At 38.2% G+C, this 15,736-nt stretch overlaps 1 pseudogene; it reads left to right on the plus strand.

Annotated features, from left to right (window-relative positions):
- On the plus strand, positions 5,602-6,017 carry RPS14P9 (ribosomal protein S14 pseudogene 9; annotated as a pseudogene).

Below are 15,736 nucleotides of genomic sequence, written 5' to 3' on the forward strand. Positions count from 1 at the left end.
TGGACACAGGGTGAGGAACATCACACACCGGGGTCTGTCATGGGGTGGGGGGAGGCGGAAGGGGGGAGGGATAGCATTAGGAGAAATACCTAATGTAAATGATGAGTTAATGGGCACAGCACACCAACATGGCACATGTATACATATGTAACAAATCTGCATGTTGTGCACATGTACCCTAGAACTTAAAGTATAATTAAAAAAATCGTTATGTAATAACAATATTGTTATTGTATATGGAAATACAGTCTAAATTGTTAAATGCACATATCGCTTTTAATGGCTGACGCTTCTTTTCCCCTTGAGACTGAATCTGGGTCATTTTCTGGCTTTTTCCACCTTGCCTTCAGAAGACTTTTTTTTGAGGCACTTGATACAGAAAAAGTTTTGAGAGAGCTTTTTTCTCTCCCTAAGATTTAAGAACATTTCTGACCATTTTACTCATATTGTTTTTAAGTCCAAGCTATAGTTCACCTTTGTTTATGTTAACTTAAGAAATTTTTTAAGACTAATGTTTTTCCAGTTGCAGCCTCTCTCCCACCAACCCCAAACCTTACACATTACTTCCCACTCTAGAATTCAGTCTGTAGATTCCAGTTTACTTAAATGTGTCTTTTAATGGCATGTTGGAAAGAGCTCAGGATTCAGGAGCTGGATTCTTGGGTCAAATCTATTAGTAATTCCACTAGTAAATGTTTATTAGTCACTTACCTCTCTATACCTCATCTGTCAAATGTAGATAATATCAATTCTTTCACAGAGCTATCGTGATAAATAAGGTAAAGTCTATTCTAATGCTATGAAAGTAATATGCTAATTTAAGCACTTAAAATGTAATTATCAGCTGATTGTATTTCTTTCCACTGCCTTTGCCCACTTTGGTTAAAACAATTCAGCAGCCTTTGATGTAGTAGCACAGTGCCGGCCACATCCCAGGTACTCAAAAATATTAACTTCTCTCCTCCCTCCCTAATAAAAATTTAAAGTGTCAACTTGAGTTTAGAATAAACAGAGATTAATGGTTTTACTAGTTCCCTTAGTACATCCCCTGGCTGCAACTGTTTTTCTCCTGGCAGGCAGGTGGATAAATACAGTGTTTGGCTTTAGCTAAGCAGGGTAGTAGCTAGCACATACAGCACCTCAGTGTAAATATCAAGAGGTCTCATTCTCCCAGCTCAGCCCTGCACTAGGGTGCTTGACAGGATTTGGGCATCACTAGCACTTAGATGAGTCCACTTTGTTCAGTGCACTAACTGCACAACCATAGAAGGCAACCCTGTAACCACTCAAGAAATGGGATATTGGAAGTTTCTGTCATTTAGCTATCACTGTCATATCATTCATGCTGAAAATATTAGCCCAGCTATTTCCAATCATAAGATTTTTCACAGCCTCTTCTCTTCTACATCTGTTGACTTGAAATCATGAGACTTATGTATATTAGACTTGTAAGACAAGCTCGTTTGCCTCATCATGGAACTGTATCTTTTAAGATATTTTTCTTTTCATTTTATACTACTACAGCCATCAAAATGGTGCCTTATAATTGAGCCAGAATTAGCTGAGATTAACAAGTGTGCTTTTCCTTGATTGTTCTTATAAAAAGCAAAAATATTCCCTCTATTAAAATAACACAAGAATTTGCAGTGAAGGAACATCACATGGGGACTTCTAATTTACAAACTTCCCACTGAAAATACTAACTCATGTGTCTGTTTGGTCTGTGCCGGGAAAAAAGTTTCTGAGAGGAAGGAGATATCCATCCAAGCCCTTTAATTACTTCCTCTTGCCCTTCCCCACGTGATCTGAAGTTTCTTGGATCTATGGCAGAGTGAAACATTCCTTAAATGGTCATATCTCCTTATGGAAAAAGATAGTTGCTATAGGAGCAGCAGGAATGAATGTGATTCCACCACAAGGCTTACCTTTTTCAAGGATTCACCATAAGCCAAGCAGGAAATCTAGGTTGAATAGACAGGAGATGTGGACTCTTAGTGCTGATGATGTATGCTAGATGAAGGGTAGGCAGGTGTGCAGATATTCCCAAACATGGATAGCTCCTTTTGAGCATGCCCTGGGGACATGGAGACAACACAGCCACTGTCTGAGTCTCCACAATTCCTTCTTCCGATGTTCCAAGGAACAACAGCAGAAGCACAAATGGTCCCCAAACCTCTGCGTAGAGACACTGCATGGAGTGGTTAGGGTCACAGACTAACCTGCAAAAACTTGGCATTTCAGTTACTTTTGGGTAAAGCAGTCTTTACAGGGTGTGCTGGGGCAACTTAACCACAATTTATAGCATTGTTTCTATGGGAAAACATGCTGTACATTTCAAAAGCTAGTTTATGAGTGGATTTCAGAGCCCAGCACAGGTGTAGATCAGAATTTATTTTTAAAAATAATTCCCATTCACGGTGGAATTAAATAAACACTTAAATATGATTACAAACTCTCTTACTATTCCTTACACATTTTGTCTGTCAAACTTGTTTTTAGACATAAGTTTAACCAAAAATGCTAACTTTTGGTTCTCAGCACTTTCCTTCTAATTAATATGAGTTAATATTTGCATTGATAATTTACAGTATTTTAGTTCATGAAGCCCTTTGACATATTTGAAGTCTTCACAATAACAGCGAGAACTGAGTGACTGTTGTTTTTTCCCATGTCGTAAGTGAGGAAACTGAGGCTCAATGAGTTTGGCTTACTTGGGTTAAAATAGGATTAAGCGAATAGAACTGGAAGTCATCCCAGGCCTGATGGCAAATGCCATGAGGCTCTTTCCGCAACATCCCACTGTATTGTAAAAACCTTCTGATCATGACAGAGCGAGAGAAATCAAATCGTGCTGTCTCACTAAAGGAAAGTCCTTGATGACTTTTTCCAACCGGGAGACTGTTAGCAGGTTGCTTCATTAACTAACTGGAAGCCTTCCCCATTCCTTATAATCAAAACTTGGCTCACTCTTGCACCACATCCTTCCCTTTGCAATCAGCAGCGTGCCTTTGATGCAGACCTTGGGCGTTTTCTGAAAGCAGAAGTGTGTTTTTGATAATGAACTATTCAAAACAGCATTTAAACAAAGAACTTTGGGTTTTTAAACAGAGTCTTAAAGCCATTTACTTCCCTTTGAGCAATATCCACATCCTTCTACAGTTACCAATAGACAAAGAAAATAGAAACATTTGCCTTCAGCAAATGTACTAAGAGGTCGCCCACAGACATAGATCCCAGTGTGGAAACCAATTGAAACAAAACAGACTAGAGTAAATGGATCAGTAGGGACACTGAGTCTTATTAGCATGGTTTTGTTTTAGTCCTGAATCTAGTGTTTATTTCATGAGTAATCAATTGCTTTTTAAGAAATGTTCAAGAAAGGAGAATCTATAAGCAATTATAATATCCTATTCCATTATTTAACATTATTTAATATTACCATCAACAAGCTCTTTTTCATTGTATTTATATTTCTACAAATAAAACCATATTTCTCAATCTTTTTATCTATGAGACTACAAGATTAGAAATTCAGAATTCCTCTTTAAATAAATACTTGATATTCCTTTTTTTAAATGTGAGAACTTTTTATTATCCTCCCTTCATCTTCATTGACTGTTGTCTAGCACATAGCAGACATTTGATAAATAGCTTTTGATGGAATGAATGTTGAAATTACTTATTAATTCAGTAAGTATTTATTCATATCATACTATCAGTTCATACTACAAGAGATATTGGAGTCAGAAAAAACAATAAGGAAGTTATTGTTACAGAAGCCCTGACAAAGTGGTGACAATGATAGCCAATGAAGGAAAGAGATATTGCAAAAGCAGAATTAGCTTGACAATGGACTCTAGGGCCTAAAAAAGAGGGAGCAATCTAAGATAATCAATCTTTTTGAGCTTCAGTGACCGTGATAGGGAGAAGTGTTAGGTTAGGAAACAGGATGAGAAGCAGCTTTTATGATGAAGAGATAATTATTTTTCAGACCCTTTAAGTTTGAGGTACTAGTGGGACATCCAGGTGAAAGTCTGGCAGTGGACTCTAAATGTGAAAGCGGAGCTCAGGGAAGGAGGCAGAGTGAGGCAATGATGTGGTGAGGCCTATCTTTACTGAGGTGTCTGCAATCCTGAAATTGCATAAGATGGCCGTGGGAAAGAGCACAGAGGGAAGAGAGGTAGTGACACTGATGCTGCAGGGCAGAAGGAGGGAGGAGGGCCAGGGAAGGAGCAATCTGAGAGGCAGGAGGAGAAGCAGCAGAGCTGAGAGGGGTGGAAGCCAGAGGGAGACAAGCATGCCCAGGAGTTGCTAGGCAGCCAGCTGACAGGCAAGTGAGTGAGAAAATGCCACTGGGAAGGAGACCCAGGTGGCCTCTGCAGAGCCGTTTCAGGAGATGATGGAAGCTAAAGGAGAAGCAAGAAAATCGAAGGTGAGGAGGTGAAAGGACCATGTGTAGACTCAGCTCTTGAATTGTTCAGAGGTTCCTGGAAAGAGCTGAGGCCTGTCTCAAAGATATTATTACAGAATCCTGAGTCACATTCATCATTCTGAAGGTTTGCTATCTTCTTTTCTTTAACATTTTTTTTTCTGAAACAGAGTCTTGCTCTGTTGCCAGGCTGGAATGCAGTGGTGCAATCTCAGCTCACTGCAACCTCCACCTCCTGGGTTCAAGCGATTCTCCTGCCTCAGCCTCCCGAGTAGCTGTGACTACAGGCACGTACCACCACGCCCAGCTAATTTTTGTATTTTTAGTAGAGACGGTGTTTCACCATGTTGGCCAGGATGGTCTCTATCTCTTGACCTCGTGATCCGCCCACCTTGGCCTCCCAAAGTGCTGGGATTACAGGCATGAGCCACCGCACCTGGCCTTTCTCTAACCTTTTTGAAAAGTCTTTTATAATCCCTTTAAATCTCCCTTTCTTCCATTCTGTGTCTGGGCAATTGCCACATTTACTATTCTTTTCCTGTGGTATTTCTAAAGTTCCTTTCTTCCTCCTCAAGATATTTTTCTGTAGTTATTATTTCCTCCCTTGAATATTGCAACATTTTGAATATTGAACATTTTATCTACTATTTTCTTCTGCTCTGGACTATTTCCTGTGACTATCTGCTTACCTCTTTGGAGATGGATTCCACTTACAACTATACCCCTATTTAAGTCTGGTTGGTTTGTATACTAAATCTTTTTAGCCCTTCACAGTTTAGCCTAAAAGCTCTAAAAGGTGATAAAATTTATTATTGACCCTTCTAGTTGTTGCATTTGCTTTCTAGACTTTACAGAACCAGCATAATTGATATTTACTAGGAATAAAGTTTAGGCAAATATAACCTTACAGATGCAAGTAGTAAGCTTTGTGGCATTGCACATTTTCTAAATCAGCTAACTTTATCTCCTTAAGAATTGTTTGTAGACAAATAATACCACAAAGTAATATTATCTAGTTTTTAGTGTAATTTTTATCCATTCTTTAATAAAAGAATAAATAGCAAACATGCCATTTTGGAAAATAGAAATGTGACAGTCTATTAGTATTGAGCTTTGTAGCATATAATTTCGCTTCTTTAAAAGATACGTGTAATGCACTCTTTACATCCTTTCACATCTTTTCATCCTTCACTGACACCTTTGTCCATGTCACCAATCTCATTGGCAAGAAAATCATCTGCAGCATGACTGGTGGGATGAAGGCAAAGGCTGACCAAGACGAATCCTTGCCATGAGTCACCATGTTGGCTGCCCAGGATGTGGCCCAGAGGTGCAACGAGCTGGGCATCACTGCCCTACAAATCAAACTCCAGGGCGCAGGAGGAAATAGGACCAAAACTCCTGGACCTGGGGCCCAGACAGCCCTCAGAGTCCCTGCCTGCTTGGGTATGAAGATCGGGCAAATTGAGGATGTCACCCCCAACCCCTCTGACAGCACTTGCAGCAAGGGGGGTCACCATGGTCACCATCAGTGAACAGGACTCCTCAGATTATTGTTTTCTGTTAATAAATGGCCTTTATGTAAACTAAAAGAGGGAAGCATTGCGTATTATAGTACCAGGAAGATTGGGATTAATATTTCTGCTACTGAAGTAGTTAGCACTTTGATTTTCTCTTCTTTAAAAGGAATATTTGAATTTTGTTTTTAAATAGTAACTTTGATTACTATTTTGTCTTTTGTAAGCACCCATGATTTTTCTTCAGTTTTTGGCCAATTTGACCAAGACACAGATAATGATGATTAGACATAGACAACCTTGAAATATTAAAACTATGATACAGATAGTGAATACAGTATCTTAATAAGTACAAAAATGGCTAGATTGTACAAAGAATGCCTGGATTATGCCCATATTATGTACATTCAGAAGTCTTTTGTAAATTTTTTCTCTGGGGAAAATTTCACAAAAGCACCCTCTTTCTACTTTGGATTAGCACTTAACAATTGTAAATGTTGATCCTTCACTTGTAAAGAGTGAAAAATCTTCCTTACTTTTCCACCTCTGGAAATAGAAAAATGTTTTTTTAAAAATCAGCTGCAGAATATATTCCAAGCTAGTTAAAGATACAAGATTTTCTGAAGAGTAACTTGCAGCCAGGGTTATCATTGGTTCATAGTTTACTCTTAGCATAAGCTAATGAATTTGAAATAAACCTGGCCCAAACATGTTAGGAGACAAAGCTCTATTATAACCCAACTCTAAGCTATCATTTATTCACTGGGAAAAAAAAAAAACTCAGGAAGAAGCCTGCCAACAAACCAGATGTCACCATCAGTAGACAATTATGTTCCACAGCTTGGCACCTGGGGCCCACAGTCATAATCCAAGAAGGAGGAGAAATAAAAAGTAGAACATTCTGGCAGACTCCAGACTGAAAGATTCCAAATGGCTCATGGAGAAAATGGAGGCTAAAGAGCTGCTTCTTTAATTCTCAGGAAGGAGACCCCAGAACTGAAACATGATCACTCTACCTATTGAGGATGTCATGATCCTGACAGATATAGCAGAGTCTACAAGGGCCTGGAGTGCTCCCAGGGGCTGGCTTTGGGAGCTGGCATGGCAGCATTTGTACACTGGAAGATTTACCATGTCACAGAGACGATCTCGTCTTTTGGGATAAATTACCAACCGAACTGAAAACGTTTCCTTCTTTGGCAAATTTTAAGGATTGAAAAGGACTTAGGATTTAGAGGTGATCTCGGTGAAATACTGTCCAGAATGTACTGGACTGAACTGCATAAAATAACTTTTCAAAATCTGCCTTATTCCATAATTAATCTATGATTAAGAAACTGTAGATTTACATGGAGAATCTCATCAAGGCCTCCTTTTTCTCAGCTGAGAAAAAAATGAACTCCCTCTTTTGAAATGCATTTCAATAGAAAGTAGACACTTTGCAATCCTCAGATGGTTCCAACATGAAGAGCCTAATATATGTGTTCAACTTTTATGTAATCTAGGAATTAAGGACATAAATGAAAGTTGAAATAATCAACTTTTATTTTTATTTTTATTTTTTTCTTTTTTTAATTATACTTTAAGTTCTAGGGTGCATGTGCACAACGTGCAGGGTTGTTACATATGTATACATGCGCCATGTTGGTGTGCTGCACCCATTAACTCGTCATTTACATTGGGCATATCTCCTAATGCTATCCCTCCCCCCTCCCCCGACCCCACAACAGGCCCCAATGTGTGATGTTCCCCTTCCTGTGTCCAAGTGTTCTCATTGTTCAATTCCCACCTATGAGTGAGAACATGCGGTGTTTGGTTTTTTGTCCTTGTGACAGTTTGCTGAGAATGATGGTTTCCAGCTTCATCCATGTCCCTAAAAAGGACAGGAACTCATCCTTTTTAATGGCTGCATAGTATCCCACGGTGTATATGTGCCACATTTTCTTAATGCAGTCTATCATTGATGGACATTTGGGTTGGGAAATAACCAACTTTTATTAAAAGTTTTCTGAACATTTCTTTATATATAAAGATTCCACTTAAATGGAAACTGCCCGTGTTCAGACAAAAATAAAATGTCTACATTAGATTTATTGGTTCAGCCTGTAACTAAACAAAACAACTAAAATATTGGTTAAGTGGAGACCGCTTTTTCCATTTTTCTCTGCCTTTATAAATCACCAAATCCTGCATAAAGCAAAAGAGATTGTAACTGAATTTAAAGATTATGTTTATTGTTATGTTTAAAGATTATGTTTATGTGTGTATGGTTATCACATATGTCCATGGTTGAAACTGATTTTTATAAAATTGAGGAAATATTTTTATTAGTTTTGAATAGTTATTAATGTTTTGTTTGGATAGAGCTAACTGGCCCACTTAAATTAGTCTATGAATCCACAAATAATTCTTCTCCACAAACAAACCTTACCAAATATCTTAAACTATATATACTACATTTGGGGCAAAGGGCAAGACTCTTCTTTATGTATGATAACTATAGTGCCAATTAGCTAGTTAATTAATATATGTTAAGTGATATAAATAAATTACATGTATAATTTATTACATAACACATTTTTAATTATACATTAATATTTGCCTAAACTTGGAGTTCCAGAGTCTATCTTTTAGACTTTCAATAGTTTTGATCATTCTTTCATGATGAGGTAGCACATTAATTGCTTCTGGAAATGTGATGCTTTTAATGTAGTGGTTTTCGAATGTTTTGCTTTGGGAATCATTTTATTAAAGGTTAAAAACAAAACAATGAGCACATGTCCCACTGCCACCACCAACTCCTACTTCCTCTGCCTTTGGCCCTTCTTACCAAAACTCTCTGTGGACATTATCAGAAAGAGCTTTGCTATGTATTTAAATGATACACATGAATAATGGCATTCTAGTTTGCCTCTGATGTGAACAAACAGTACTATTCTCTGACGGTTATAAATGTTAGTGCTACCAGCCCGTGTGTCACTCTTGATCGATGGGAAATTGTTTTCCTAGTGACAGGAAACAACAAGCTGAGAATCAGAAGTGGTCTCTGGCCATGCCACCCTGAGTGGGCAAAATCTCGTTGGAGAATCAGAAGTCCCCAATTCTATTGCAGGATTTGCATGATCGGATAGATAGCCTCTCTGCATCTGAGTTCCCTCAGTTGTCACGAATCATTGTTATTTCTGTCTCTGGTTCTCGTCACAGAGATAATAAATTCCATTCTGAGGGCTGTGGAGAGCTACGACCCTTCCGCAGACCTGTGTAAATTGAGAAGGCATAAGCGGCAAGCCACAAAGCAGTCCCTTTGTCTTGCTGCTGAAGCTTCCACACTCCCACACTCTCTCTGACACCTGTCTATCCTATTTCTAAAGTGGCAGGGAAAATGCCTGGAGTTAAGGGCCACACTCATTGCCAGCTCCAGCGGAATAACTTGGAACGGATGGAAAAATAAAGAAGTGATTTCTCTCTTCCTCAGCTCTCACAGGAGGTCTATGGTACTTTCTCAAGGTCAAGGAAAGAACTGAAGTGGGTGGAGAATTTCTGCAGAACACTTCAAGGCCCTTTGAAAACTGAAAGGGACATACTTTTATAATAGTACATGCCATATTGTAAACTCCTCTGCAAAGTTTCTTGACAGAAATAATGACTTTGATTGCTATAGCTCAGATAAATTATCAAGACACAGTAGGAAAAAGGGTAAAATAAAAGAGAAAAATACTTCATCATTGATGTCAGCTTTTAGAAAATTATTGTATATAATATTTGATTTAAGGAATATCTACTCTTAGTTTGAGGATCCCTGGTGAATTTCTTCCTATAATTTATAATCCAAACTGATACTTGCAGTTCTGCTTCTATATAGCCCAACATATTTTAGTAGGAAAGGGGAAATCCAAAGGAAAGTTTGGATAGCACTATATGCTCCAATGTTTCCTGGCATTGGGAAGGAGATTTTCTCAATTTTTCAGCTTCTTACCCTGCAGAATGGAAGCAATTAGTTAGGATAAATGCAGGGAATTCTCCATAGCATTCCCTGCTATGTAGAAAGAAGTAGAAATCAAGAGATCTGGGTCTGCTTCCAGCTCATTACTAACCATCTGTATGCCATTGGGAAAGTCATATAACCTCCCCAGATTCTAATGTATTACTCTATAAAATAAAATAAGTGGCTTATTTATTCATTTGAAAACATTTGTTAAGCACTCAGTAGACTGTGGCACTGTGCTAGGCTCTGGAAATAAAAAGCCAAATAAGATGCTGTCCTTGCCTTCACAGAGCATGCAGCCAAGAAGGAAGGGACAGAAGCATAAACAAGTGCAGGAAAGGGTAGATGCTGTCATGGGAAAGTTGAAGAGACCCAGGACAAGCAAAGGAGGCATATTGGTTGGAGTGGGCAGAAAGTAATTTCTAAGGTTTGTGAGTCTAAAGTCAGGGCTTAAAAAAAAAAGAATTTGTCAAGAGGACCTCAGAAGAACAGTGAGTTGGAGGAATTTCCAACCACTGTTCCATTCCAAACCAAAGGAATTTCCAAGAACAAGAATCAGTAGATGAAAAACACAGGGGTATAGAACAGTCTGGCGTGATAGGAAAACCACAGGGTTCAGGGTGGACAGAGAAGTTAGGAGCCAGATGGTGGAGCATACTAAGGAGTTTGGCACAGGTATGACCTTTAGTACATAGGCATGAACTTTAGTCTATGGCATAAGCTTTAATCTATGGCCATAACCTTTAGTCTCTGGGCATAGACTAGAGGCATGGCCTTTAATGTAAGAGGGTAACCTTTAGTCTGTGGGCATGACCTTTCGACGTGGTCAAGCAGAGCAGATTTATATGATCACTCTTGCAAAAAATATGGAGGATACTGAAAGGGAGAATTAAAAGGGGGCATTGTCTTACCTTATCCACGAACCCTTCTAGGAGAAGCTGCCCCACCCACTGCCCCTGCTGAAAGCAAATGAGCTATATTATCTACCATGTGACATTACCCTTCACTACACATGATTGGGTCAGGTACAGGTACCTAATGCAAGCATGGCAAACCTTAGCTCTGGATGAAGTGACTTAAAAAGATGAGCTATATTCAGAGTCCACTTGGGCAAAACTCAGAGAGCAGTATCATGAGTATTGATAAGGATCTAGAGAAATGGGAACCGTCAGGCACTGCGGGTAGAAATGTAAATTGGTAAGCCATTCTGGAGATTGAGTTGGCTATATTTAGTATAATTAATTATGCATATATCCAGCAATCCAATCTTGTTTCTGTTTATGTAAAGCAGAATATGAATGTGACTAATTGTGACATTCTCCCTTAACAAGTCCATAAATGGACACATACAAGGTTGTTTGTTGCAGTATTGTTTTGAGAACAGGGAATTGGAGGCCACACAGACATCTATCACTATGAGAAAGATAAGTAAAATATGATGGATGCATACACCAAAAGAACCGTAGCAAGCAGAACTAGATGTGTACAGAGAAACATGAAGTGTAAAAACAGTGTTGAGTAAAAAAGTAAATAGAGCTATAATATAACATCATTTATATAGATTTTAAATGGAGACCTACACAAAGCAACACTATATATTTTTCAGAGTCATATACTAGCCAAGGATATATATCACACATATGAGAGTCAATGCTTTTGATGGAAATGGAAGTGGGAAAGAGTCAGGATAAGACAGAAAAAAAAAACAAATAATTAATATGGCCTTGTATAAACAAATTATAGTGTGTCTGAGTAGAATGAATGCAATTCCATACACTTGTGGTCAGGAAGGAAAATTAAAATGTGAGTTTACAGAGCCATATTCTCTCTTTAAAAACTAAGAAACAAGGCAAAAGTTTGCATTTCTAATGAGTTAGAAAGGGGTGTGGCTAAGTCACATTTATGATAAGATATCAGGATGAAGATCTGCAAATTTGCAAATTCTTCCTTCTAGTCTGCTGAACCTTTTTAAATGCAGAAACACCCTTTAGCGCCCATTTTCTTGAAGTCCAACCATTTTGTAGCTTTTGACTAGTTCTCTGTTCCTGCACTCAAAGGAATCGATATTTAAAAAAAAAGTACCAGGAACATGACCACAGTCAGAGACACCTGTCAGGATATTGCTATAACTATCCAAAGGAGAAGTGCTGAATAACCCAGCGGTGTGGATGGGGGTAGAGATCAGTACTAGAGACACAGATTCAGGGATCAAAAGATGAGAGAAGATTGTTGAAGTCCTATGTGAATGAGTGAGATCATGGTTATAAACAAGGAGAGGAGGGGAGAGTTTAAGAGTTGTGTAAAGAGGAGCCACAGAAGAGAATGAAGAAGAACCAGCTGAAGAGAGGAACCAACAAAAGGGACTGAAAGGGAACAGCTGGAGAGGGAGAAACTCTAGGAGGGAATGCCATTATGGAGACCAAAAAAGAGGAAAGGAGCAGCCAATTTGATTTTTACTGCTAAACCATCAAGTAAGTTGAGAAACAGAAAGGTTCCATGGAACTTCCAATTGCAAGGCCATGGTGACCTTTTCCAATAACAGTTTTTGTGCTGTGGTAATGGCAGGAGTCAGTCCAGGGAGTCAAGAGTAAATGGGGTGCTACTTATTGCCCAGGCTGAAGCTGGTTTATCCCACCCCAAAGGACAAAGCCCAACTCACTGGTTTTCCTATGACAACACAAGTGAGAAAAATAACCGAGAGTAAATAGAACATAGTGAGATTAAATTAAATGAAATAAAGATGCTTTTTAACAAAAAAATGAAGTCTAAATTATTTTAAGTATAACCACAAGATGAAGCATTGAAGACAGTAAATGTAGAGTGTCCTTTATGGGTTTTGGTTAGGAAAGTTGCACTTGAGCTCTAAGCCTCTTCCAATTCTAATAGTCAATGATTATAGCTCATAAACTATAGTCCATGAACATAAAAATAACTTGATGTTAAAGAACTAAATAACTTACTTCTTTATTTTAGGCTGCTTGTTGTAGAAGGAATCTGTGCTTATTGTAAATTTAAGCAATGCAGAAACATATAAAGTCAAAATTAAGTCCTCTCTTTCACCTCTACCTCACCCTAATCTCAATCCCCAGAGACACCATATTTTCTAGGCACATGCAAACATATATATGTACATAAATTGTAATATAATGGATTAATTCTATCTTTGAACATTGTATCTATAAACATGAGTGATATTAAAAATATTAAACTCAGTGTGATGGGGTAGCAGCTAATCAGAACGGCTGTCAGTGCTAAGCAGCTGGGTTGAGTGGTGTGACATATTACATTTAACCAGACCCAGCAGAGGTGCGGGAGGCCTGGCATGGTGGTGGGAGCTGCACCTCAGTGTCTGGCCACAGCTACATGGCCTCCGAGTTTTACTCTGACTCTCCAGGATTTTTCTATAAGACACATGATATGCTTTAATAAATTGCCTTTTTTATTTAAACTGGACAGAGTGGTTTTTTTTTTTTGCAAGCAGAAACAACAGTGGAATATAAAAAGAATTAAAAGATTCTCAGCCGGGCTCGGTGTCTCACGCCTGTAATCCCAGCACTTTGGGAGGCCGAGGCGGGCAGATCACGAGGTCAGGAGATCGAGACCATCCTGGCTAACACGGTGAAACCCCGTCTCTACTAAAAAATAAAAAATAATTAGCCGGGCGCGGTGGCGGGAGCCTGTAGTCCCAGCTACTCGGAAGGCTGAGGCGGGAGAATGGCATGAACCCAGGAGGCGGAGCTTGCAGTGAACCGAGATTGCGCCACCGCACTCCAGTCTGGGCAACAGAGCGAGACTCTATCTCAAAAAAAAAAAAAAAAAAAAAAAAAAAAAAAAAAAAAAAGTCAGGTTCTCATCCCATTTAAACCAAGAATTTTGATCACCAGCAAATTTTGTGATCTGTAACGATCTGCACGGCAGTAACCAAATCTGAAAGACTGGTATCTCTCTTTCCTCTTTTTTCCACATAAAGAGTTGTTGACCTATGGCAGCTGTTGAGTGCCAGACCCTAGGGGTAGATTGATCTATAATCAGGACTGCTCTTTTGCACAAAATAATTTCCTTCCTTTAAATTTTTCTTTAAATACACATTACCTTATTTTAGATTTTTTCTTTTGTAGTTTATAAAGAAAAAGCAATCAAGAGAAAAATAAATTCATTTGCATATGTCTGCTCTGGAGAAAAAATATACTCTTTTTTCATTTCTTTCTTGATTACATCAGCAAAAGGCATTTAGAACACAGCGCTTTCAAATTAGTGCTTCAGGTCCTGATTATTTTTGAAGTCTTCATGAAATATTATTTAAAGAAGGAAGGTTTCTAAATTCTGTCAAATATACCAACTATGCATAAGTTAATGCTAAGAAAATAAACTTTTTAATTTTTGATGTAATATAATACACTGAGAATTGTTCTATGCATGAAACAAGAAGGGAGCATTACAAGTGCGGAAATATATTTCATATGTTCATTGTCTGTGCTTTGATATATGCATAACTATATTGCATTCTAGGAGCAGCTAATTTCCATATAAAGTGTAGCTACTTTCAATTTTACTATGTCTTGTCTACAAAGGAAGCTTTGATTTGTGTGCCCTAGGCTAGATCAGAGAATGCATCATTTTCTTGAAGTTCCTTTCTGTCATGCACAATTGGTGAGTTCCAGCACTGATTATAACATGGATGTTTAGAAAGACATTACCCAAAAGGGAAAAAAATAAGATAAATTGCATCAAGAAAGGCTAGCAAAATCAAAGAAAAATGATCAGAGAGAACCTGATGGCAATCCTCCCGAATTGTACACATTTGGGCATTAAGGGGCAATGAACCTTGGCCTATTCTGGTGATTATAACAGCTATTTCAAGCCTAATAGAAGAAGTGAAATTCTGCAGTCATATCAAAGCATCTGCCATCATTTGATCCTCTGTGATGGCTACTGCACATTGGTAACCATCTTCTTTGTAGAGCTGAAGGTGGACCAGCTGAGCTCACGTGAGGTGTGACTTGTGCAGTAGCAGAAGACCTCACCTCCAAATATTTCCTCACTGACATTCATCAAATTTTATCTTTCAATTCCTTTTGATGATGTGTGCTTTTGAAGTGGATTAATGAATTCTATTACCTGGAGGAATAAAATCAAGTACTCATCCAGTATCAGCCTATCCTATAATCTAATTATTTTACCTGATTACTATTTAATGGAAAGAGAGGCAAACTAGGAACAGGGAGTTGAGTTCTAGTCCCTGCTCTGTGGCTGTGCACCTCCGGGCAAATCACTTCTCTCCTTCAGTCTTAGTGTCTTCATCTTTAAACTGACGAGATGATAGTAAAGATCTCTCCTAGTTAGGAAATTCTGACTTGGTGACTAGATTATTACCCTTTTAACTTAGCACCCTGAAGGAATGGAAAAAAGAAGCAAAATTTTGATGGATTTGAGAATGAGAGAAGGAAGATAGGAGGTAAGTCATTCCGAGGCCAAAAGTGAGTAGAGATTTGTTAGGGAAGAGATACAAGCACTGAAAAAATTAAAATTGGGGAAGAAAACAAACTTCTGATTCTATACTTGAGTCATATATTTTTGAAATATTTGTATAATACTAAAAATACTGGATTTGATTTTCTTTTGAAAAAACCTTTATTGGCTTGGATTTATTAGTATCATTACAAAAATATAGAAACTGCATGCCCCCAACCTCATTATTGTATCTCCTACAAGATAACTATTGTTAATAATTTGGGGTTTCTTCTTGCAGACTTTTTTTTTTCATGCCTATTACCATATGCAAGGAGGTTTTTTTTTCTTTTTTTT

Source organism: Homo sapiens, chromosome 6 (genome assembly GCF_000001405.40).
Source record: "Homo sapiens chromosome 6, GRCh38.p14 Primary Assembly".
Classification (NCBI taxonomy): Eukaryota; Metazoa; Chordata; class Mammalia; order Primates; family Hominidae; genus Homo; species Homo sapiens.